The sequence below is a fragment of the Homo sapiens genome, chromosome 12 (assembly GCF_000001405.40).
Source record: "Homo sapiens chromosome 12, GRCh38.p14 Primary Assembly".
NCBI lineage: Eukaryota > Metazoa > Chordata > Mammalia > Primates > Hominidae > Homo > Homo sapiens.
In genome coordinates, this window is record NC_000012.12 from 46579632 (window position 1) to 46605100 (window position 25469).

General features: G+C 39.8%; 1 long non-coding RNA gene and 1 pseudogene across 5 annotated transcripts in view, besides 3 other annotated features; both read left to right on the forward strand.

Annotated features, from left to right (window-relative positions):
- The window catches only part of SLC38A4-AS1 (SLC38A4 antisense RNA 1), a 268904-nt gene that overhangs the window by 195956 nt on the left and 47479 nt on the right, over positions 1-25469 (forward strand). The window lies entirely within an intron of this gene.
- Positions 5634-6388: an enhancer, noted in NCBI's record as "NANOG-H3K27ac hESC enhancer chr12:46979048-46979802 (GRCh37/hg19 assembly coordinates)". NCBI's record gives its function as "activates a minimal SCP1, AML or CMV promoter by ChIP-STARR-seq in primed H9 embryonic stem cells {active_cell/tissue: H9 hESC(primed)}" and the evidence as "EXISTENCE:reporter gene assay evidence [ECO:0000049][PMID:30033119]".
- Positions 6389-7143: an enhancer, noted in NCBI's record as "NANOG-H3K27ac hESC enhancer chr12:46979803-46980557 (GRCh37/hg19 assembly coordinates)". NCBI's record gives its function as "activates a minimal SCP1, AML or CMV promoter by ChIP-STARR-seq in primed H9 embryonic stem cells {active_cell/tissue: H9 hESC(primed)}" and the evidence as "EXISTENCE:reporter gene assay evidence [ECO:0000049][PMID:30033119]".
- OR7A19P (olfactory receptor family 7 subfamily A member 19 pseudogene) lies at positions 12943-13675 on the forward strand (annotated as a pseudogene).
- Positions 24578-25097: an enhancer, noted in NCBI's record as "H3K27ac-H3K4me1 hESC enhancer chr12:46997992-46998511 (GRCh37/hg19 assembly coordinates)". NCBI's record gives its function as "activates a minimal SCP1, AML or CMV promoter by ChIP-STARR-seq in primed H9 embryonic stem cells {active_cell/tissue: H9 hESC(primed)}" and the evidence as "EXISTENCE:reporter gene assay evidence [ECO:0000049][PMID:30033119]".

A 25469-nucleotide genomic window follows, 5' to 3' on the forward strand; every position in this document is an offset into this window, starting at 1 on the left:
GGTGGCTTGGGGAAATAGGAAGACCACAGTTGAAAGTGAATAAAAGTAAGAGAGCTCCTGAGATTTTCTAGACAGTCAAATATTTACTGTAAGTCTTTCTGGATATGGTGTTATGCTTGTTGCAAAGTAAACAGCTCAAGGCCAGGCTTGCACTAACCTCACAGAGTGGAACATTTTCCTTATGATGCAGTTCAGTTCAACAGGGATTTATTGAGCTACTCACACTGTTATGGAAAATATAAAAGTATAGCAATTGAAGGCATCATCACATTTCTTGAGCAAATTTTGATCTACTTGGGGATACAAGACTTAGCAATAAAAGGTACAGTATTGAATTTATTTTGAGGTGCAGATACTTAACTTTTTAACATTTTTCATATTATGGTACACATAGAAAATAATCATATTTAGTTAGTATATTTATAAATTTGGAAGTAATTAGGATTAATTCCAGTATGGCATTTGGTAAAAAAATGAAACATTCTTATACTGTATAATAATGATAAGAAAGATGTAACAAAAGGTATTAGAGGATAGATATGCTAAATAGTGAATTTGTAAATAAAAAGAACTTCCAAAAAATCTTTTCGAATGTTTGAAGGAGAAACTTGAAATGTTACGAATACATTTTTTTAATCCTATGCTTGAAACAGCTACATGCAATTCCTGATCAAGACATTCTAATGATGATCTCCTTAAAGTCTTAAGAACCACCATTAATGAGAAAATTTGTCCAAATATGTATCTGATAGAACATGTCAAACAAATTTTAAGATGACTGAAAAGTTTGCAGTCATTGAAATTACATTTAAAAACTAATAGCTCTTTCCTTCCTTTTACTGACAAATGTAATTTTTCAAGTTTTTCAAATAATGGTGAAGCTCTAATGAGTAGAACTTGTATGGTGTTTTTTTCTTATATGAAATTCACATAACACACAGTTAACCATTTTAAAGTGTACAATTCAGTCATATTTAGAGCACTCACAGCATTGTGCAATAGCTACCTCTCTGTAGTTTTAAAACTCTTTCATCACCCCAGAATAACACCTTATACTCATCAAGCACTCATTCCCTGTTTCCCTCTCCATCCATACCCTAGCAAACACTCATCTGCTCTCTGTCTGTATGGATTTGCCTTTTCTGGATATTTCATATACAAGAAATTATACAACAGGTGACCTTTCGGGTCTGGCTTCTTTCATTTAACATAATTTTTGAGGTTCATCCAAGTTGTAGCGTCTATTAGCACTTCATTCTTTTTTGTGACCAAATAATATTTTTTTGTGTGTAGCACAATTTGTTTATCCATTTATCCATTCTTGGACATTTGGATTGTTTTCCCCTTTTGGCTATTGTGAATGTTATGAATATTCATGAGCAAGTAGTAGTTTGAGTCCTGCTATATATATTTTTTTTACTTTAAGTTCTGGGGTACATATGTTGAACATGCAGGTTTGTTACATAGGTATACATGTGCCATGGTAGTTTGCTGCACCTATGAACCTGTCATCTAGGTTTTAAGCCCCACATGCATTAGGTATTTGTCCTAATCCTCTCCCTCCCCTTTCCCCAGACCTCCCAACAGGCCCCGGTGTGTGATGATCCCCTCCCTGTGTCCGTGTGTTCTGATTGTTCAGCTTCCACTTATGAGTGAGAACATGCAGTGTTTAGTTTTCTGTTCCTGTGTTAGTTTGCTGAGGATGACAGTTTCCAGTTTCATCCATGTCCCTGCAAAGGACATGAACTCATTCTTTTATTATGGCTGCATAGTATTCCATGGTGTATATGTGCCATGTTTTCTTTATCCAGTCTATCATTGGTGGGCATTTGAGTTGGTTTCAAGTGTTTGCTATTGTAAGTAGTGCTGCAATAAACATACGTGTGCATGTGTCTTTATGGTAGAATGATTTATATTCTTTTGGGTGTGTACTCAGTAATGGGATTGCTGGGTCAAATGGCATTTCTGGTTTTAGATCCTTGAGGAATCACCACACTGTCTTCTACAATGGCTGAACTAATTTACACTCCCATCAACAGTGTAAAAGTGTTCCTATTTCCCTACATCCTCTCCAGTATCTGTTGTTTCCAGACTTTTTAATGATCACCATGCTAACTAGCATGAGATGGTATCTCAGTGTGGTTTTGATTTGCATTTCTCTAATGACCAGTGATGATGAGCTTTTTTTCATATGTTCGTTGGCTGCATAAATGTGTTCTTTTTAAAAAATTTTTTATTATTTATTTATTGTTTAACTTCTAGGGTACATGTGCGCAATGTGCAGGTTTGTTACACAGGTATACATCTGCCATATTGGTTTGATGCACCCATCAACTTGCCATTTACATTAGGTATTTCTCCTAATGCTATCCCTCCCCCAGACCCCCACCCCCTGACCAGCCCTGGTGTGTAATGTTCCCCACCCTGTGTCCATGTGTTCTCATTGTTCGACTCCCACTTATGAGTGAGAACATGTGGTGTTTGGTTTTCTGTTCTCGTGATACTTTGCTTAGAATGATGGTTTTGAGCTTCATCTATGTTCCTGCAAAGGACATGAACTCATCCTTTTTTATGGCTGCATAGTATTCCATGGTGTATATGTGCCACATTTTCTTAATCCAGTCTATCATGGATAGACATTTGGGTTGGTTCCAAGTCTTTGCTATTGTGGATAGTGCCACAATAAACATACATGTGCATGTGTCTTTATCATAGAATGATTTATAAACCTTTGGGTATATGCCCAGTAATGGGATTGCTGGGTCAAAAGGTATTTCTAGATCTAGATCCTTGAGAAATCGCCACACTGTCTTCCACAATGGGTGAACTAATTTACACTCCCACTGACAGCATTAAAGCGTTGCTGTTTCTCCACATCCTCTCTAGCATCTGTTGTTTCCTGATTTTTAATGATTGCCATTCTAACTAGTGTGAGATGGTATCTCATTGTGGTTTGATTTGCATTTCTCTGATGACCAGTGATGATGAGTATTTCTGCATATGTCTGTTGGCTGCATAAATGTCTTCTTTTGAGAAGTGTCTGTTCATATCATTTGCCCACTTTTTTATGGGGTTGTTTGTTTTTTTCTTGTAAATTTGTTTAAGTTCTTTGTAGATTCTGGATATTAGCCGTTTGTCAGATGGGTAGGCTTTCGTATCAGGATGATGCTAGCCTCATAAAATGAGTTAGGGAGGATTCCCTCTTTTTCTATTGATTGAAATAGTTTCAGAAGGAATGGTACCATCTCCTCTTTGTACCTCTGGTAGAATTCAGCTGTGAATCCATCTGGTCTTGGACTTTGTTTTGTTGGTAGGCTATTAATTATTGCCTCAATTTCAGAACCTGTTATCGGTCTATTCAGAGAGTCCACTTCTTCCCGGTTTAGTCTTGGGAGGGTGTTTGTGTCCAGGAATTTATCCATTTCTTCTAGATTTTCTAGTTTATTTGCCTAGAGGTGTTTATAGTATTCTCTGATGGTAGTTTGTATTTCTGTGGCATTGGTAGTGATACCCCTTTATCATTTTTTATTGCATGTATTTGATTCTTCTCTCTTTTCTTCTTTATTAGTCTTGCTAATGGCCTATCAATTTTGTTGATCTTTTCAAAAAACCAGCTCCTGGATTCACTGATGTTTTTTTGAAGGGTTTTTTGTGTCTCGATCTCCTTCAGTTCTGCTCTGATCTTAGTTATTTCTTGCCTTCTGCTAGCTTTTGAATTTGTTTGCTCTTGCTTCTCTAGTTCTTTTAATTGTGATGTTAGGGTGTGTCAATTTTAGCTCTTTCCTGCTTTCTCTTGTGGGCATTTAGTGCTATAAATTTCCCTCTATACACTGCTTTAAATGTGTCCCAGAGATTCTGGTATGTTGTGTCTTTGTTCTCATTGGTTTCAAAGAATATCTTTATTTCTGCCTTCATTTCGTTATTTACCCAGTAGTCATTCAGGAGATGGTTGTTTAGTTTCCATGTAGTTGTGCATTTTTGAGTGAGTTTATTAATCCTGAGTTCTAATTTGATTGCACTGTGGTCTGAGAGACTGTTGTGATTTCTCTTCTTTTACATTTGCTGAGGAGTGTTTTACTAACAATTATGTGGTCAATTTTAGAATCAGTGCGATGTGGTGCTGAGAAGAATGAATATTCTGTTGATTTAGGGTGTAGAGTTGTGTAGATGTCTATTAGGTCCACTTGATCCAGAGCTGAGTTCTAGTCCTGGATATCCTTGTTAACTTTCTGTCTCATTGATCTGTCTAATATTGGCAGTGGGGTGTTAAAATCTCCCATTATTATTGTGTGGTAGTCTAAGTCTCTTTGTAAGTCCTGAAGGATTTGCTTTATGAATCTGCGTGCTCCTGTATTGGATGTATATATGTTTAGGATAGTTAGCTCTTCTTGTTGAATTGATCCCTTTATCATTATGTAGTGGCCTTCTTTGTCTCTTTTGATCTTTGTTGGTTTAAAGTCTGTTTTATGAGAGACTATCATTGCAACCCCTGCTTTTCTTTCTTTCTTTTTTTTTTTGCTTTCCATTTGCTTGGTAGATCTTCCTCCATCCCTTTATTTTGAGCCCATGTGCGTCTCTGCATGTGAGATGGGTCTCCTGAATACAGCATACTCATGGGTCTTGACTCTTTTTCCAATTTGCCAATCTGTGTCTTTTAATTGGGGAATTTAGCCCATTTACATTTAAGATTAATATTGTTATGTTTGAATTTGATCCTGTCATTATCACGTTAGCTGGTCATTTTGCCTGTTAATTGATGCAGTTCCTTCATAGCGTTGCTGGTCTTTACAATTTGACATTTTTTTTTCAGTGGCTAGTACCAGTTGTTCCTTTCCATGTTTAGCGCTTCCTTCAGGATTTCTTGTAAGCCAGGCCTGGTGGTGACAAAATCTCTCAGCATTTGCTTGTTTGTAAAGGATTTTATTTTGCCTTCATTTATGAAGCTCAGTTTGGCTGGATATGAGATTCTGGGTTGAAAATTCTTTTCTTTAAGAATGTTTAATATTGGCCCCCACTCTTTTCTGACTTGTAGAGTTTTTGCCAAGAGATCTGCTGTTAGTCTGATGGGCTTCCCTTTGTGGGTAACCTGACCTTTCTCTCTGGCTTCCCTTAACATTTTTTCCTTCATTTCAATGTTGGTGAATCTGCCAATTACGTGTCTTGGGGCTGCTCTTCTTGAGGAGTATCTTTGTGGTGTTCTATGTATTTCCTGAATTTGAAGGTTGGCCTGCCTTGCTAGATTAGGGAAGTTCTCCTGGATAATATCCTGAAGAGTGTTGTCTAACTTGGTTCCACTATCCTCATCACTTTCCATTACACCAATCAAATGTAGAGTTGGTCTTTTCACATAGTCCCATATTTCTTGGAGGCTATGTTTGGTTTTTTTTTCACTCTTTTTTCTCTAATCTTGTCTTCTTGCTTTATTTCATTAATTTGATCTTCAGTCACTGATATCCTTTCTTCCACTTGATCAAATCAGCTATTGAAGCTTGTGCATCCATCACGAGGTTCTTGTGCCATGGTTTTCTACTCCATCAGGTCATTTATGGTCTTCTCTACACTGTTTATTCTAGTTAGCCATTTGTCTAACCTTTTTTCAAGGTTTTTAGCTTCCTTGTGATAGGTTACAACATGCTCCTTTAGCTCGGAGAAGTTTGTTACTATCGACCTTCTGAAGCCTACTTCTGAAAACTCAACAAATTCATTCTCCATCCAGTTTTGTTCTGTTGCTGGCAAGAAGCTGTGATCCTTTGGAGGGGAAGAGTTGCTGTGCTTTCTGGAATTTTCAGCTTTTCTGCTCTGGTTTCTACCCATCTTTGTGGTTTTATCTACCTTTGGTCTTTGACGTTGGTGACCTACAGATGGGGTTTTGGTGTGGATGTCCTTTTTTTTGATGTTGATGCTATTTTTTTTCTGTTTGTTAGTTTTCCTTCTAACAGTCAGACCCCTCAGCTGCAGGTCTGTTGGAGTTTGCTGGAGGTCCACTCCAGACCCTGTCTGCCTGGGTATCACCAGTGGAGGCTGCAGAACAGCAAATATTGCTGCCTGATCCTTCCTCTGGAAGCTTCGTCACAGATGGGCACCTACCTGTTTGAGTGTCTGTTGACCCCTACTGGGAGGTGTTTCCCAGTCAGGCTACACAGGGGTCAGGGACCTGCTTGAGGAGGCAGTCTGTCCATTCTCGGAGCTCGAACGCCATGCTGAGAGAACCACTGCTCTCTTCAGAGCTGTCAGACAGGGATGTTTAAGTCTGCAGAAGCTTTCTGTTGCCTTTTGTTCTACTATGCCCTGCCCCCAGAAGTGGAATCTATAGAGGCAGTAGGCCTTGCTGAGCTGCGGTGGGCTCCACCCAGTTCCTGCTTCCAGGCCTCTTTGTTTACATTGTGAGCTACTCAAGCCTCAGCAATGGTGGACACCCCTCCCCCCATCCAGCTGCAGCAAGGCAGGTCAATCTCAGACTGCTGCACTAGCAGTGAGCAAGGCTCCGTGGGAGTGGGACCTGCCAAGCTAGGCACAGGAGAATATCTCCTGGTCTGCCAGTTGCTAAGACTGTGGGAATAGTGCAGTATTTTGTCAGAAGTGTACCGTTTCTCCAGTTACAGTCTGTCACAGCAGCCCTTGGCTAGGAAAGGGAAATCCCCTAACCCCTTGTGCTTCCCAGGTGAGGCGACACCTGCCCTGCTTCAGCTCACCCTCCATGGGCTGCACCCACTGTCCAGTCCCAGGATGAACCAGGTACCTCAGTTGGAAATGTAGAAATAACCAACTTCTCTGTCGATCTTGCTGGGAACTGCACACCGGAGCTGTTCCTATTTGCCCCTCTTGGAAGTGGAGTGTATAAATGTCTTCTTTTGAGAAGTATCTGTTCAGGTCCTTCACCCACTTTTTGATGGAGTTGTTCATTTTTTTCTTGTAAATTTGTTTAAGTTCCTTGTAGATTCTCGATATTAGCCCTTTGTCAGATGGGCAGATTGCAAAAATTTTCTCCCATTCTGAACAGGTTGCCTGTTCACTCTGATGATAGTTTCATTTGCTGTGCAGAAGCTCTTTAGTTTAATTTGATCCCATTTGTCTGCTTTGGCTTTTATTGCCATTGCTTTTGGTGTTTCAGTCATGAAGGCTTTGCCCATGCCTATGTCCTGAGTGGTATTGCCTAGGTTTTCTCCTGGGGTTTCTAAAGTTTTAGGTTTTATGTTTAAGTCTTTAATCCATCTTGAGTTAATTTTTGAATAAGGTGTAAGGAAGGGTCAGTTTTCTGCATATGGCTAGCCAGTTTTCCCAGCACCATTTATTAAATAGGGAATTATTTCCTTATTGCTTGTTTTTGTCAGGTTTGTTGAAAATCAGGTGATTGTAGTTGCGTGGCGTTATTTCTGAGGGCTCTGTTCTGTTCCATTGGTCTATATATCTGTTTTGGTACCAGTACCATGCTGTTTTCATTACTGTAGCCTTGCAGTACAGTTTGAAGTCAGGTAGTGTGATGCCTCCAGCTTTGTTCTTTTTGCTTAGGATTGTCTTGGCTATGCAGGCTCTTTTTTGGTTCCATATGAAATTTAAAGTAGTTTTTTTCTAATTCTGTGAAGAAAGTCAACAATACCTTGATGGGAATGGCATTGAATCTATAAATTACTTTGGGTAGTATTGCCATTTTCGTGATATTGATTCTTCCCTTCCATGAGCATGGAATGTTTTTCTATTTGTTTGTGTCCTCTCTGATTTCCTTGAGCAGTAGTTTGTAGTTGTCCTTGAAGAGGTCCTTCATTTCCCTTGTAAGTTGTATTCCTAGGTATTTTATTTCTTTGTAACAATTGTGAATGGGAGTTCACTCATGATTTGGCTCTCTGCTTGTCTATTATTGGTGTATAAGAATGCTTGTGATTTTTGCACATTGATTTTTTATCCTGAGAGTTTGCTGAAGTTGCTTGTCAGCTTAAGAAGTTTGTGGGCTGAGACGATGGGGTTTTCTAAATATACATTCATGTCGTCTGCAAACAGAGACAATTTGACTTCCTCTCATTCTATTTGAATGCCTTTTATTTCTTTCTCTTGCCCAATTGCTCTGTCCAGAACTTCCAATGCTATGTTGAATAGGAGTGGTGAGAGAGGGCACCTTTGTCTCGTTCCAGTTTTCAAAGGGAATGCTTCCAGCTTTTGCCCATTCAGTATGATATTGGCTATGGTTTTGAAATAAATAGCTCTTGTTATTTTGAAATATGTTCCATCAGTACTTAGTTTATTAAGTTTTTAGCTTGAAAGTGTGTTGAATTTTATCAAAGGCCTTTTCTGCATGTATTGAGATAATCATGTGGGTTTTGTCATTGGTTCTGCTTATGTGATGGATTACGTTTATTGATTTGTATATGTTGAACCAGCCTTGCATCCCAGGAATGAAGCTGACTTGATCATGGTGGTTAAGCTTTTTGATGTGCTGCTGGATTCAGTTTGCCAGTATTTTACTGAGGATTTTCACGTCAATGTTCCTCAGCGATATTGCCCTGAAATTTTCTTTTTTTATTGTGTCTCTGCCAGGTTTTGGAATCAGGATGATGCTGGCCTCGTAAAATGAGTTATAGAGGATTCCCTCTTTTTCTGTTGTTTAGAATAGTTTCAGAAGGAATGGTACCAGCTCCTCCTTGTACCTCTGGTAGAACTTGGCTGTGAATCCATCTGGTCCTGGACTTTTTTTGGTTGGTAGGCTATTAATTACTGCCTCAATTTCAGAACTTGTTATTGGTCTTTTCAAGGATTCAACTTCTTCCTAGTTTAGTCTTGGGAGGGTGTTTGTGTTCAGGAATTTATCTATTTCTTCTAGATTTTCTAGTTTATTTGCATAGAGGTGTTTATAGTATTCTCTGATGGTAGTTTGTATTTCTGTGGCATCGGTGTTGATATCACCTTTATCATTTTTTATTGCGTCTATTTGATTCTGCTCTCTTTCCTTCTTTATTAGTCTGGGTAGTGGTTTATATATTTTGTTGATATTTTCAAAAAACCAGCTCTTGGATTCATTGATTTTTTGAAGGGTTTTTTGTGTCTCTATCTCTTTCAGTTCTGCTCTGATCTTAGTTATTTCTTGTCTTCTGCTAGCTTTTGAATTTGTTTGCTTCTGCTTCTCTAGTTTTTTTAATTGCGATGTTAGGGTGTGGATTTTAGATCTTTCCTACTTTCTCCTTTGGGCATTTTGTGCTATAAATTTCCCTCTAAACACTGCTTTAACTGTGTCCCAGAGACTCTGGTGCATCAACCAGTAAGTTGATCTTATTGGTTTTAAATAACTTATTTATTTCTGTCTTTTTGCATTATTTATCCAGTAATCATTCAGGAACAGGTTGTTCAGTTTCCGTGTAGTTGTGTGGTATTGAATGAATTTCTTAATCCTAAGTTCTAATTTGACTGCACTGTGGTCCAAGAGACTGTTATATTTCCTTTATTTTCCATTTGCTGAGGAGTGTTTTACTTCCAATTATGTGGTCAATTTTAGAATAAGTGCGATGTGGTGCTGAGAAGAATGTATATTCTGTTGATTTGGGGTGGAGAGTTCTGTAGATGTCTATTAGGTCAGCTTGATCCAGAGCTGAGTTCAAGTTCTGAATATCCTTGTTGATTTTCTGTCTCGTTGATCTGTCTAATATTGACAGTGGGGTATTAAAGTCTTCCATTATTATTGTATGGGAGTCTCTCTTTGTAGGTCTCTAAGAACTTGCTTTATGAATCAAGGTGCTCCTGTATTGGGTGCATATATATTTAGGATAGTTAGCTCTTCTTGTTGCATTGATTCCTTTACCATTATGTAATGCGCTTCTTTGTCTTTTTTTATCTTTGTTGGTTTAAAGTCTGTTTTATCAGAGACTAGGATTGCAAGTCCTGTTTTTTTTTTTTTTTTGGCTTTCCATTTGCTTGGTAAATATTCCTCCATCCCTTTATTATGAGCCTATGTGTGTCTTTGCACATGAGATGGGTCTCCTGAATACAGCTCACTGATGAGTCTTGACTCTTTATCCAATTTGCCAGTCTGCATCTTTTAATTGGGGCATTTAGACCATTTACATTTAAGGTTAGTGTTGTTATGTGTGAATTTGATCCTGTCATCATAATGCTAGCTGGCTGTTTATTAGTTGATGCAGTTTCTTCATAGTGTCATTGGTCTTTTTATTTTGGCATGTTTTTTCAGTGCCTGGTACCAATTGTTCTTTTCCATATTTAGTGCTTCTTTCAGGGGCTCTTGTAAGGCAGGCCTAGTGGTAATAAAATCCCTCCGCATTTGCTTTGTATGTAAAGGATTTTATTTCTCCTTCACATATGAAGCTTAGTGTGGCTGGATATGAGATTCTGGGTTAAAAATTCTTTTCTTTAAGAATATTGAATATTGGCTACCACTGTCTTCTTGCTTGTAGGGTTTCTGCTGAGAGATCCGCTCCTATTCTGATGGGCTTCCCTTTGTAGGTAACTTGACCTTTCTCTCTGGCTGCCCTTAATATTTTCCCCTTCATTTCAACCTTGGAGAATCTGATGATTATGTGTCTTGGGGTTGCTCTTCTCAAAGAGTATCTTAGTGGTGTTCTCCCTATTTCCTGAATTTGAATGTTTGCCTGTCTTGCTACGTTGGGGAAGTTCTCCTGGATAATATCCAGAAGAGTGTTTTCCAACTTGGTTCCATACTCCCTGTCACTTTCAGGGACCCCAATCAATTGTAGGTTTGGTCTTTTCACATAGTCCCATATTTCTTGCAGGCTTTATTCATTCCTTTTCATTCTTTTATCTCTAATTTTGTCTTCATGCCTCATTTCAGTAACTTGATCTTCAATCTCTGATATCCTTTCTTCCATTTGATCGATTTGGCTATTGATTCTTGTGTATGCTTCACGAAGTTCTCGTGCTGTATTTTTCAGCTCCATCAGGTCATTTATGTTCTTCTCTAAACTGGTTATTCTAGTTAGCAGTTCCTGTAACCTTTTTTCAAAGATCTCAGCTTCCTTGCATTCTGTTATAACATGCTCCTTTAGCTCGCAGGAGTTTGTTATTACCCACCTTCTGAAGCCTACTTCTTTCATTTTGTCAAACTAATTCTCTGTCCAGTTTTGTGCCCTTGTTGGAGAAGAGTTTCGATCATTTGGAGGAGAAGAGGCATTCTGGTTTTTGGAATTTTCAGCCGTTTTGCACTGGTTTTTCCTCATCTTCATGGATTTATCTATCTTTGATCTTTGAAGTTGGTGACCTTTGGATGGTGTTTCTGTGTGGGGGTTCTTTTTGTTGATGTTGATGTTATTGCTTTCTGTTTGTTAGTTTTTCTTCTTACAGTCAGGCCCCTCTTCTGCAGGACTGCTCCAGACCCTATTTGTCTGGGTATCACCAGCAGAGGCTGCATAGCAGCAAAGATTGCTGTTGCCTGCTCCTTCCTCTGGAAGCTTTGTCCCAGAGGGGCACTGGCCTGATGTCAACCAGAGCTCTCCTGTATGACGTGTCTGTCAATCCCTGTTGGGAAGTCTCTGCCAGTTAGGAGGCACAGGAGTCAGGGACCAACTTGAGGAGGCAGTCTGTCCTTTAGCAGAGCTCGAGCCCTGTGCTTGGAGAACCCTCCTTCTCAGGATCTGTTGCTCTCTTCAGAGCCAGCAGGCAGGAATATTTAATTCTGCTGAAGCTATATCCACATCTGCCCCTTCCCCCAGGTGCTCTTAAGCAGTGAGATGGGAGTTTTATCTATAAGACCCTGACTGGGGCTGCTGCCTTTCTTTCAGGGATGCCCTGACCAGTGAAGAGGAATTTAGAGAGGCCGTCTGACCACAGCTGCTTTGCCATGCTGCATTGAGTTCTGCCTAGTCCTTGGTAATGGCAGGGGAAAACTGCTTACTCAAACCTCAGTAATGGTGATGCCCCTCCCACTACCAGGTTGGATCCTCTCAGGTTGACTTCAGACTGCTGTGCTGGCAGTGAAGATTTCAAGCCAGTGGTGTTTAGCTCGCTGGGCTCCATGGTAATGGGACCCACTTAGCGAGACCACTTGGCTTCCTGGTTTCAGCCCCCTTTCCAGGGGAGTGAATGGTTCTGTCTTGCTGGGGTTCCAGGTGCCACTGGGGTATGAAAACAAACAAACAAACAAACAAACAAACAAACAAACAAACTCCTGCAGCTAGCACAGTGTCTGCTCGAACAGCCACCAAGTTTTGTGCCTGAAACCCAGGGCCCTTTTGGTGTATGCACACAGGGAATCTCCTGGTCTGTGAATTGCAAAAATCATGGGAAAAGCATAGTACCTGCGCTGGATAGCACAGTCCCTCACTCGGCTGCGGAAGGGAGGCCCCCAACTCCTTGCACTTCCTGGGTGAGGCGATGCCCCACCCTGCTTCTGCTAGCCCTCCATGGGCTGCACCCACTACCTAATCTGTCCTCTCAGTTGGAAATGCAGAAATCACCCATCTTCTGTGTTGGTCTCGCTGGAAGCTGCCAGACGGGGCTGTTATTCAGCCATCTTCAAGTCTTGCTTTCAAATGTTTGAAGTATAAACCTAGAAGTGAGGTTTCTGGGTCATAAGGTAATTCTGTGTTTAACTTTTCTGAGTAACTGCCAAAGTGTTTTCCACAGCAGCTGCACCATTTTATATTGCCACCAATGATGGATAAGTATTCTTTTTTCTCCACATCCTCAACACTTCTTATTTTGTTTTCTTTTAATAATCATCCTGGCTAGGCGCAGTGGCTCACGCCTGTAATCCCGGCACTTTGAGAGGCCAGGGCGGGCAGGTCACGAGGTCAGGAGATCAAGACCATCCTGGCTAACATGGTGAAAACCCATCTCTACTAAAAATACAAAAACTTAGCTGGGCATGGCGGCACCCACCTGTAGTCCCAGCTACTCGGGAGGCTGAGGCAGGAGAATCACTTGAACCTGGGAGGTGGAGGTTGCAATGAGCCAGGATCACACCACTGCACTCCGGCCTGGGTGACAGAGCGAGACTCCATTTCAAAAAAAAAAAAAAAAGTAATAATCCTAGTGTGTGTGAAGTGGTATCTCATCATGTTTTTTCTTTTTTTCATTTACTATACTTTAATGCTTATGACATAATTTTTAAAGAGGAAAATATTAGTTGGGACAATGGAAGGAGTCAGATTTTTAGGTAACACTGGAAAATTTTAAGAAGAAACAGCAAGATGATACATGAAATTATATAGACCTTATGCCAAATCCTTTACTCAGAGGACAAAACTTGTTACATACAGATACAAAGCTTGTTTTGTACTGACTTGGAAATCCCAAACTTTTTCTGTGAACTTAATTAGGTGGTCCACCTTGCCTGTTCTGACACCTTTCTCAAAGACATAGTGAGGTATTGTACAACTATGCTGCTGAGTGGTGGTCCCATTGCTGGTATTTTTTTACTCTTTCTCTAAGATCATTTCATCCATATGTGCAATCCCATCAGCTCAGGGGAAGCATAAAGCATTTCCCACCTGCGTGTCTCACCTCTCAAATATGTCCTTATTTTATTGTAGGAGCACAGGATTGTACCTTAGTTTTGCTGCTACCCACAACTCATGCTCTAATGCAACTGCCTCAGTGAGGCACACTGTGGTTAAACCCTTACTAAACGTTTTCATCTTAAAGTCAAGTAATAAAGACATAAAATGAGCTCTGAAAGTATTCTTCAGAGGAAAGCAATGGAAGCATCATTTTTCAAAAAGTGCATGTGATTTTATTGTGGTTTTGATTTACATTTCCTTAATGATCAATGATGTTGAATGACTTTTCATGTATTAGCCATTTGTACATCTTTGGAGAAAAGTCTTTTCAAAATCCTTTGCCCATTTTAAAATTGGATAGTTTGTCTTTTTGTTGTTGAGTTGTAAGAGTTCTTTATACATATTTTTATATATTCTGAATACTAAACTCTTAATCTGATATATGACTTGCAAATATTTTTTCCACTCTATAGATTGTCTTTTCATTTTATTTTTGTGTTAATATCTTTTGATGTGCAAAAATTTAATTTTTATGGAGTCTATCTCTTTTTCTTCATTGCTCATGCTCTTGATGTCAAATCTAAGAATTCATTGCCAAATCTGTGGTCATAAAGAGTTAATACTTTGTTTATTTTTAGTGACTTTAGAGTTCTTATTATTCTATTCTCTTTTTTGTTCATCTCTGCTCTAATTTTTATTACGTCCTTCCTTCTGCTAGCTTTGGATTTAGTTTGCTGTTCTTTTTCTAGCTCCTTAGATGTAATGCTTGGCTGATTTATAATCTTGTTTTCTTAATAAAATAGGCATTTACAGCTACATATTTTCTTCTAATCATTGTTTTAGCAACATCCCTAAGATTTGGTATACTGTGGTTGTTTTTTTTTTTTTTTCATTTATTTCAAAGTATAATTTCTCTAGTAATTTTTTCTTTGATCTACTGATTATTTAAGAGCATACTGTTTAATTTCCATATATTTCTATATTTTTCAGCTTCCTTCTGTTGTTGACTTTTGTCTTCATTCCATCATGGTCAGAAAACACTTTTTGTATAGTTTAATATTTTAACATTTATTGACAGTTTTTTTATAACCTCACAGAGTGTCAATCTAAAAAATATTCCATGAGGATTTGAAAAGCATATCCATTTTGCTGTTATTGGGTAGACTGTTCCATGTATGTAGATTAAGTTTAATTGCTTTATAGTGCTATTCTTTCATCATTTATCATCTGTCTAGATAGTCTATTGATAATTAAAAGTGAGGTATTGAAGTTTCTAAATATTGTAGAACTGTCTCTCTAATTCTGTCAATGTTTTCTTCACATATTTTGGGGTTATGTTATTTGATGCATGTATATTTATAATTGTTATATCTTATTGATAAGACCTTTTAAAAATCAACGTACAATGTCCTTCTTTGTCTCTTTTAACTTTTTCTTAAAATTTATTTTTTCTGCTATTAGTATAGACACTCTAGCTGTCTATTGGTTACTAATTGCATGGAATATCTTTTTCATTATTTCACTTTCAACCTATTTGTGTCTTTAGGTCTAAACTGAATCTCTTGTAAACAGTATATAATTGGATCATTTAAAAATCCATTTTGCCAATCTGTCATTTAATTGGTGAGTTTAATAGATTGACATTCAAAGTGATTACTGACAAATGGGAACTTATTTCTGCCATTTTGCTATTTTTAAAATCTTTTTTATTCCTCAATTTCTCTGTTACTGCCTTCTTTTTTATTTGAATTTTTTCTTAGTTTACCATTTTCATTCTCTATTTACTTCCTTTTCATATAGTTTCATTGAGTTATATTATTAGTGGTTACTATGGTCATTATAGTTAACATCCTAAGTTTATAACAGTCTAGTTTGAATTGGTACCAACTGAGCTTGAATAGTATACATTAACTCTGCTTTTATCATATCCAGTTCTGTCCCCCTCTCAGGTTGTTATTGTCACAAATTACATCTTTATACATGGGTAACAATTAACATAGATTTATAATTATTTGTATTCATTTTTGTTTTAAATCACATAGGAAGCAAAGATATAGTTGTAAACAAACAATATAAAATACTAACTTCTATATATGCCTATACAATTATATTTACCATTGATATTTATTTCTCCCTACAGCTCAAGTTACTATGTAGTGTCATTTCATTTCAGCCTGAAGGACTCCCTTTAGCATTTTTTTTCTTTTTCTTTTCTTTTTAACTATACGCTAAGTTCTGGGATACAAGTGCAGAACATGCAGGTTTGTTACATAGGTATCCACGTGCCATGGTGGTTTGCTGCACTCATCAACCCGTCATCTACATTAGGCATTTCTCTTAATGCTATCTCTCCCCTAGTTCTCCATCCTCTGACAGGCCCCAGTGTGCGATGTTCCCCTCCCTGTGTTTATGTGTTCTCATTGTTCAACTCTCACTTATGAGTGAGAACATGCAGTGTTTGGTTTTCTGTTCCTGTGTTAGTTTGCTGAGGATGATGGTTTCCAGCTTCATCCACATCCCTGCAAAGGACATGACCTCATCCTTTTTTATGGTTGCATAGTATTCCATGGTTTATATATGCCACATTTTATTTATCCAGTCTATCATTGATGGGCATTTGAGTTGGTTCCAAGTCTTTGCTATTGTAAATAGTGCTGCAATAAACATGCTGGTGCATGTGTCTTTATAGTAGAATGATTTATATTCCTTTGGGTATATACCCAGTAATGGGATTGCTGGATCAAATAGTATTTCTGGTTCTAGATCCTTGAGGAATCACCACACTGTCTTCCACAATGGGTGAACTAATTTACACTTCTGCCAACAGTGTAAAAGCATTCCTATTTCTCCACATCTTCTCCAGCATCTGTTGTTTCTTGACTTTTTAATGATCACCATTCTAACCAAAGTGAGATGTTATCTCATTGTGGTTTTAATTTGCATTTCTCTTATGATCAGTGATGATGAGCTTTTTCTTCATGTTTATTGACTGCATAAATGTCTTCTTTTGAGAAGTGTCTGTTCATATCCTTTGCCCACTTTTTGATGTGGTTGTTTGTTTTTTTTCTTGTAAATTGGTTTAAGTTTCTTGTAGATTCTGGATATTAGCCCTTTGTAAGATGGGTAGATTGCAAAAATTTTCTCCCATTCTGTAGGTTGCCTGTTCATTCTGATGGTAGTTTCTTTTGCTGTGCAGAAGCTCTTTATTTTAATTAGGTTCCATTTGTCAATTTTGGCTTTTGTTGCCATTGCTTTTGGTGTTTTAAAGTCTTTGCCCATGCCTATGTCCCGAATGGTATTGCCTAGGTTTTCTTCTAGGGATTTATGGTTTTAGGTCTTACGTTTAAGTCTTTAATCCAGCTTGAGTTAAATTTTGTATAAGAAGTAAGGAAGGGGTCCAGTTTCAGTTTTCTGCATACGGCTAGCCAGTTTTTCCAACATTACTTATTAAATAGGGAATCATTTCCCCATTGCTTGTTTTTGTCAGGTTTGTCAAAGATCAGGATGGTTATAGATGTGTGGCATTATTTCTGAGGCCTCTGTTCTGTTCCATTGGTCTATATGTCTGTTTTGGTACCAGTACCATGCTATTTTGGTTACTGTAGCCTTGTAGTATAGTTTGAAGTCAGGTAGCATGATGCCTCCAGCTTTGTTCTTCTTGCTTAGGATTGTCTTGGCTATACAGGCTGTTTTTTGGTTCTATATGAAATTTAAAGTAGTTTTTTCTAATTCTGTGAAGACTGACAATGGTAGCTTGGTGTGGGATAGCATTGAATCTATGCATTACTTTAGGCAGTATGGCCATTTTCACAATATTGATTCTTCCTATCCAGGAGCATGGACTGTTTTTCCATTTGTTTGTGTCCTCTGTTATTTCCTTGTGCAGTGGTTTGTAGTTCTCCTTGAAGAGGTCCTTCGCATCCCTTGTAAGTTGGATTCCTAGGTATTTTATTCTCTTTGTAGCAATTGTGAATGGGAGTTCACTCATGATTTGGCTCTCTGCTTGTTTATTATTGGCATATGGGAATGCTTGTGATTTTTGCACATTGATTTTGTATCCTGAGACTTTGCTGAAGTTGCTTATCAGCTTAAGGAGATTTTGGGCTGAGATGATGGGGTTTTCTAAACATACAATCATGTCATCTGCAAGCAGAGACAATTTGACTTCCTCTCATCCTATTTGAATACCCTTTATTTATTTCTCTCGCCTGATTGCCCTAGCCAGAACATCCAACACTATGTTGAATAGGAGTAGTGAGAGAGGGCATTCTTGTCTGTGCCGGTTTTCAAAGGGAATGCTTTCAGCTTTTGCCCATTCAGTATGATATTGGCTGTGGGTTTGTCATAAATAGCTCTTATTATTTTGAGATATGTTCCATTGATACCTAGTTTATTGAGAGTTTTTATCATGAAGGGGTTTTGAATTTTATTGAAGGCCTTTTCTGTATCTATTGAGATAATCATGTGATTTTTGTCATTGGTTCTGTTTATGTGGTGGATTATTTTTATTGATTTTCATATGTTGAACCAGCCTTGCATCCCAGGGATGATGCCAACTTGATCATGGCGGATAAGCTTTTTGATGTACTGCTGGATGCGTTTCCCAGTATTTTACTGAGTATTTTCGCATTGATGTTAATCAGGGATATTGCCCTGAGTTTCTTTTTTTACTATGTCTTTGCCAGGTTTTGGTATCAGGATGATGCTGGCCTCATAAAATGAGTTAGGGAGGAGTTCCTCTTTTTCTACTGTTTGGAATAGTTTCAGAAAAAATGATACCAGGTCCCTTTTATATCTCTGGGAGAATTTGGCTCTGAATCCACCTGTCCCTGGGCTTTTTTTTTTTTTTTATTGGTTGGCTATTAATTATTGCCTCAATTTCAGAACTTGCTACTGGTCTATTCAGGGATTCAACTTCTTCCTGGTTTATACTTGGGAGGGTGTATGTGACCAGGAATTTATCCATTTCTTCTGGATTTTCTAGTTTATTTATATAGCGGTGTTTATAGTCTTCTCTGATGGTAGTTTGTATTTCTGTGGGATCAGTGGTGATACCTCCTTTATCATCTTTTATTGTGTCCATTTGATTCTTCTCCGTTTTCTTCTTTATTAGTGTGACTAGAGGTCTATCTATTTTGTTGATTTTTTCAAAAAACCAGCTCCTGGATTCCTTTTTTTTTTTTTGAGATGGAGTCTCCATCTGTTGCCCAGGCTGGAGTGCAGTTGTGCGATCTCGGCTCACTGCAACCTCCACCTCCCAAGTAGCTCGGACTACAGGCACATGCCACCACACCTGGCTAATTTTTGTATTTTTAATACAGACAGTGTTTCACCACATTAGCCAGTATGGTCTTGATCTCCTGACCTTGTGACCCATATGCCTCTCAGCCTCCTAACGTGCTGGGATTACAGGCATGAGCCACTGTGCCCAGCCGGATTCATTGTTTTTTTTTGAAGGGTTTTTCCTGTCTCTATCTCTTTCATTTCTGCTCTGATCTCAGTTATTTCTTGTCTTCTAGTATGTTTTGAATTTGTTTGCTCTTGCTTCTCTTGTTCTTTTAATTGTGATGTTAGGGTGTCGATTTTAGATCTTTCCCGCTTTCTCCTGTGGGCATTTAGTGCTATAAATTTTCCTCTAAACACTGCTTTAGCGATGTCCCAGAAATTCTGGTATGTTGTGTCTTTATTCTCATTGGTTTCATAGAACTTATTTATTTCTGCCTTAATTTTATTGGTTACCCAGTAGTCATTCAGGAGCAGGTAGTTCAGTTTCCATGAAGTTGTGCAGTTTTAAGTGAGCTTCTTAATCCTGAATTCTAATTTGATTGCACTGTGGTCTGAGAGACTGTTTGTTATGATTTCCATTCTTTTGCATTTGCTGAGGAGTGATTTACTTCCAATTATGTGGTCAATTTTAGAATAAGTGTGATGTGGTGCTGAGAAGAATGTATATTCTGTTGATATGGGGTGGAGAGTTCTGTAGATGTCTATTAGGTCAGCTTGGTCCAGAATTGAGTTCAAGTTCTGAATATCCTTGTTAATTTTCTGTCTTGTTCATCTGTCTAATATTGACAGTGGGGTGTTAAAGTCTCCCATGATTATTGTGTGGGAGTCCAAGTCTCTTTGTAGGTGTCTAAGAACTTGTTTTATGCATCTTGGTACTCCTGTATTGGGTGCATATATATTTAGGATAGTTAGCTCTTCTTGTTGCATTGATCCCTTTATCATTTTGTAATGCCCTTCTTTGTCTTTTTTTATTTTTGTTGGTTTACAATCTGTTTTATAAGAGACTAGGATTGCAACCCCTGCTTTTTTTTTTTTTTTTTTTTTTTTTGCTGTCCATTTGTTTTGGTAAATTTCCTTCGTATTTTTATTTTGAGTCTGTGTGTGTCTTTGCATGTGAGATGGGTCTCCCGAATACAGCACACCAATGGGTCTTGACTCTTTTTCCAATTTGCCAGTCTACGTCTTTTAATTGGGGCATTTAGCCCATTTACATTTAAGGTTAGTTTTGCTATGTGTGATTTGATCCTCTCATTATGATGCTACTTGGTTATTTTGTCTGTTATTTGATGCAGTTTCTTCATAGTGTCGATGGTCTTTACAATTTGGTTTGTTTTTTCAGTGGCTGGTACTGATTGTTCCTTTCCATATTTAGTGCTTCCTTCAGAAGCTCTTGTATGGCAGGCCTGGTGGTGACAAAATCTCTCATCATTTGCTTGTCTGTAAAGGATTTTATTTCTTCTTCTGTTATGAAGCTTAGCTTGGCTGGATATGAAATTCTGGGTTGAAAATTCTTTTCTTTAAGAATGTTGAATATTGACTCCCATTGTCTTCTGGCTTGTAGGGTTTCTGCCGAGAGACCCACTGTTAGTCTGATGGGCTTCTGTTTGTGGGTAGCCGGTCTTTGTCTCTGGCTCTCCTTAACATTTTTTCCTTCATTTCAACCTTGGTGAATCTGACAATTACATGTCTTGGGGTTGCTCTTCTCAGGGATTATTTTAGTGGTGTTCTCTCTATTTCCTGAATTTGAATGTTGGCCTGTCTTGCTAGGTTGGGGAATTTTCCCTGGGTAATATCCTGAAGAGTGTTTTCCAACTTGGTTCCATTCTCCTCGTCACTTTCAGGTACTCCAATCAAACGTGTGTTTGGTCTTTTCACATAGTCCCATATTTCTTGCAGACTTTGTTTGTTCCTTTTCATTCTTTTTTCTCTAATCTTGTCTTAATACTTTATTTCATTAAGTTGATCTTCAATCTTTGATATCCTTTCTTCCACTTGATCAATTTGGCTATTGATACTTGCGTATGCTTCATGAAGTTCTCATGCTGTATGTTTCAGCTCCATCAGGTTATTTATGTTCTTCTCTAAACTGATTATTCTAATTAGCAATTCCTCTAACTTTTTTCAAGGTTCTTAGTCCTTGCATTGGGTTAGAACATGCTCCTTTAACTCAGAGGAGTTTGTTATTACTCACCTTCTGAAGCCTACTTCTGTCAAGTCATAAAACTCATTCTCTGTCCAGTTTTGTTCCCTTGATGATGCGGAGCTGTGATCCTTTGAAGGAGAAGAAGTGTTGTGGTTTTTGGAATTTTCAGCATTTTTGCGCTGGTTTTTCTTCACCTTTGTGGATTTATCTACCTTTGGTCTTTGATGTTGGTGACTTTTGGATGGGGTTTCTGTGTGGACGTCCTTTTTGTTGATGTTGATGCTATTCTTTTCTGTTTGTTAGTTTTCCTTTTAAAAGTCAAGCCCCTCTGTTGCAGGTCTGCTTGGCTTTTGCTGGAGTCCACTCCAGACACTGTTTGCATGGGTATCACCAGCAGAAGCTACAGAACAGCAGATTGCTGCCTATTCCTTCCTCTGGAAGCTTTGTCCCAGAGGGGCACCTGCCAGATGCCAGCCAGAGCTCTCCTGTGTGAGGTGTCTGTGTACACCTGCTGATAAGTGTCTCCCTGTCAGGAGGCATGGGGGTCAGGGACCCACTTGAGGAGGCAGTCTGTCTCTTAGCAGAACTTGAGTGCTGTTCTGGGAAATTCACTGCTCCCTTCAGAGTCAGCAGGCAGGGACGTTTAAGTCTGCTGAAGCTGTGTCCACAGCCACCCTTTCCCCCAGGTGCTCTGTCCCAGGGAAATGAGAGTTTTTTTCTATAAGCCCTTGAGTGGGGCTGCTGCCTTTCTTTCAGAGATGCCCTGCCCAGAGAGGAGGAATCTAGAGAGGCAGTCTGGCTACAACGTTTTTGCTGAGCTGTGGTGGGCTCTGCCCAGTTCAAATTTCCCAGTGGCTGTGTTTACACTGTGAAGGGAATACCACCTACTGAAACCTCAGTAATGGTGGACACCCCTTCCCCCACCAAGCTGGAGCATCCCAGGTCAAATTCAGAATGCTGTGCTAGAATTTCAAGCCAGTGGATCTTAGCTTGCTGGGTCTGTGGGGGTAGGATCTGCTGAGCTAGACTACTTGGCTCCCTGCCTTCAGCCCCCTTTCCTGTGGAATGAATGCTTCTGTCTCGCTGGTGTTCCAGGTGCCACTGGGGTATGAAAAAAAAAAAAACTCCTGCAGCTAGTTTGGTGTCTGCCCAGATGGCTGCCAAGTTTTGTGCTTAAAACCCAGGGCCCTGGTGGTGTAGGCACTGGAGGAAATCTCCTGGTCTGAGGGTTGTGAAGACTGTGGGAAAAGTGTAGTACCTGGGTACTCACGCACCGTTTCTCACACAACAGTCCCTCACAGCTTCCCTTGGCTAGGGGAGGGAGTTCCCCGACCCCTTGTGCTTCCCAGGTTAGGCAACGCCCCACACTGCTTTGTCTTGCCCTTCGATGGCTGCACCCACTGTCTAACCCGTCCTAGTGAGGTGAGCCAGGTACCTCAATTGGAAATGCAGAAATCACCCACCTTGTGCATTGATCTCCCTGGGAGCTGCAGACTGGAGCTGTTCCTATTTGGCCATCTTGCCAGCCACCTCCTTTAAGCATTTCTTATAGGAAAGGTCTACTGTTGACAAACTGAATTTTTTTTAAAGCTAGAAATGTCTTAATTTCACCTTCAGTTTTGAAGGATATTTTTTGTCAGATATAGAATTCTTGGCTGGCCTTTTTTTTTTTTTTCTCTCAGCACTTTAAATATATCATTCCATTGCCTCTGACTTCTATGGTTTCTGTTGAGAAATTTGTTTCATGTTCCTGAGAAGGCACTTTTTTTCTTGCTGGTTTCAATGTTTCCTCTTTGTTTCAAAAATTTGATTATATCTCAGTATGGTTCTTTTTGAGTTCAGCATGCTTGGAATTTGTTGAGCATCTCAGAAGCGTAGATTTATATTTCCCATAAAATGTGGGCAGTGTTCTACCATTATTTCTTCAAATAAGCTATCTCCTTTTCTCTCTTTCTTTGTGTCTCTTCATCTTGCTCTCTTTGTTTTGCTCCTCTGAGACTCTGAAAATATGTATGTTAGTCTGCTTGATAGTGCACCACAGCCCCCCTTATACTTTGTTTACTTTTATTCATTATTTTTTCTTACTGCTCCTGGGATTGGGCACTTTCAATTGCCCTATCTTTAAGTTCACTTGTTCTTCTGCCTGCTCCAATTTGCTGTTGAAACCATCTAGTGAAATTTTCACTTCAGCCATTGTATTTTTTAAGTATCAAAAATTTTGTTTGGCTACTTTTTGTAATTTCTACCTCTTTGTTCGTAGTCCCTGCTTGTTTATACATCATTCTCCTGATTTTCTGTAGTTCTTTGTTCCTGGTTCACTCAGTTTTTTGATTACATTTAAGAGAGTTAATTTGAAGTCTTTGTCTAGTATACCCAATGTCTGGGCTTCCTTAGGGATAGTTTCTGTCAACTTCTTTCACTTTTGAGTGAATGGGCCAAACTTTCCAGTTTGTTTGTATGCTTTACAATATTAAATTGAGAACTGGACATTTTCACTATTGTAACATGCAACTCTGGAAATCAAATTCACCTCCTCCTTGGGGATTGCTGTTATTGCTTGGTGAGGGATGGATGCTGTTGTTATTTGTTTAGAAAATTTTGCCTGCATTTTTTCCTGAACTATATTCCTTGTGATGTGTAGTCATTGAGTTCTCTGTTCCATTTTCTTGTGATCAGCCATTATTCTGATAGAAATTTCCTTAAATTCCTAGATTCAGTAGGAAAAGAAAAAAGAAAAAGAAAAACCCTGAGTAATTTCTCGTTAAATTATTTTGGGAAGAGGGAATTCAGGATGGCTAACTAGAGGCATCCAGCACTTACCTCGTCCACAAGGAATAACCAAAATAGCAAGCAGATAATCACACTTCCAAGAAAGCATCTAAGAGAGAACACTGGAATTCAACAGAGAAATTACAGGAAACACCCAAGGCATGGACGGAGAAGGAAGCAAAGTAGCCCAGCTCAGCCTTTGATCAGCTGGGATCCCAGAGTCACTCACCAGTGTGGGGAATGGATAAATGAGAGATACCCAGTGGTCTACATTTCCACCATGGACTCCTGCAACCCTAGCCATTGGAGAGCTCCTCAAGCATTGCTGACCTTGGGACTAGCAGAGAGAGCTGCATAGATATCACATAATAACATTGCTCCAGAGAGGGAGTTCACACTGTGCTCCAGACCATCTTCTGAGTCCTAGCAGCTGCAGCACAATGCCACTTTGAGAGCCTAGTCCCCACTTGCCTGCATTCTGCCTTGGGGCCCAGCAGCCCCTGCATCTACACATCCTTGAAGCCACACTGACATCCTCCTTTGTCTACCTGGAGGTCTGCAGCAGTGTAACACTGGTTGGACTCAGGGGAGCAGTAGGGTTCCCAGCACTCTAGCACACATAATGTATTGTGTCCTGGAAAATGCGTGGTGCAATGCATTGGGAAAGCTCTCCTTGGGACAAACATGCACTTATCAGAGCCCAAAATCCACTTGCCTGGGGCTATTGCCACTGACAGGAACCCAGTCCTCACCAACAATAGAGCTTCAGTGCCCTTGCACATGCTCTGAGGAAAAGCTCTCTCAGCCTACAACTGCTGACACTGCTGCTGCTGGGGGCAAAGGTGTGCACAACTGGCAGCAACCCCTTTACCCCCAGCAGCAGGGATGCTGCACACTGGCACGCACACTGAGGGCTGCTCTCCCTGCAGCTACCATTGCCACCATCAAGGCTACCATTATTGGGGGCTGAAGCATGCCCTCCCCAGAGCCTGACTGCTGCTTGCCTGTGGCTGCTGCCACTGGTAGCAACCCTGTTTCCCCAGCAGCAAGGCCATAGTGCACTTGCCTGTGCCCTGAGGTGGGGTCTCCTTGTTCACTGCAGCTGTTGCTACTGCCACCCAAGCATTCCACTGGGGAACCTCGAAATAAGACCATCTTGCCTACCACAGCCTGTGCATGTGTGCACCACTAGGGGACCCAAGGATGGGTCTATCTGGTCTGGCACTCCCCCTGTTCCTCAGTGACTAAACACAATTTCCAGGAATCTGGATATTGCTCCCGCCATCCACCATTGTTGGCATCTGTGCACTTCTCCTGGGAGCTTGAGGATGGCTCCACTTAGGCTACTGCTACCATTATAGCCGGTATCCATCTACATCTACCACCTGGAGGTCTTAGTACTGACACACTTAGCCTGTCAAAGCAATTCTAACACAAGCCTGTGCCCATTGGTTGTCCTACCACTGCTACAGCCATCACTCACATCACACATGCTGCCCAGGGGCCAAAAGACCCACCTACCTGCCCAGCTATTGTTGCCACTACCAGCACCTGAGCAGCCACCTGGAGGCCCACGAATTGGCTTACTTGGACCCAGTAACATTGGTGCTTGTGTACGCCACCGAGAGGCCCAAGGACAGGCATGCTTAGCATGCTGCCACCACCACTTGGACTCAAGGACAAGTTCACCTGGAGTCCTTATGCCAACAAAACTGCACTACGGACTACACTGACAACCATAGCCTGTGCCACTGAGGAAGTCACAGACACTACTGATGCTGTCTAGAGCCAAAGAAATCATACAACGACCAAACTAC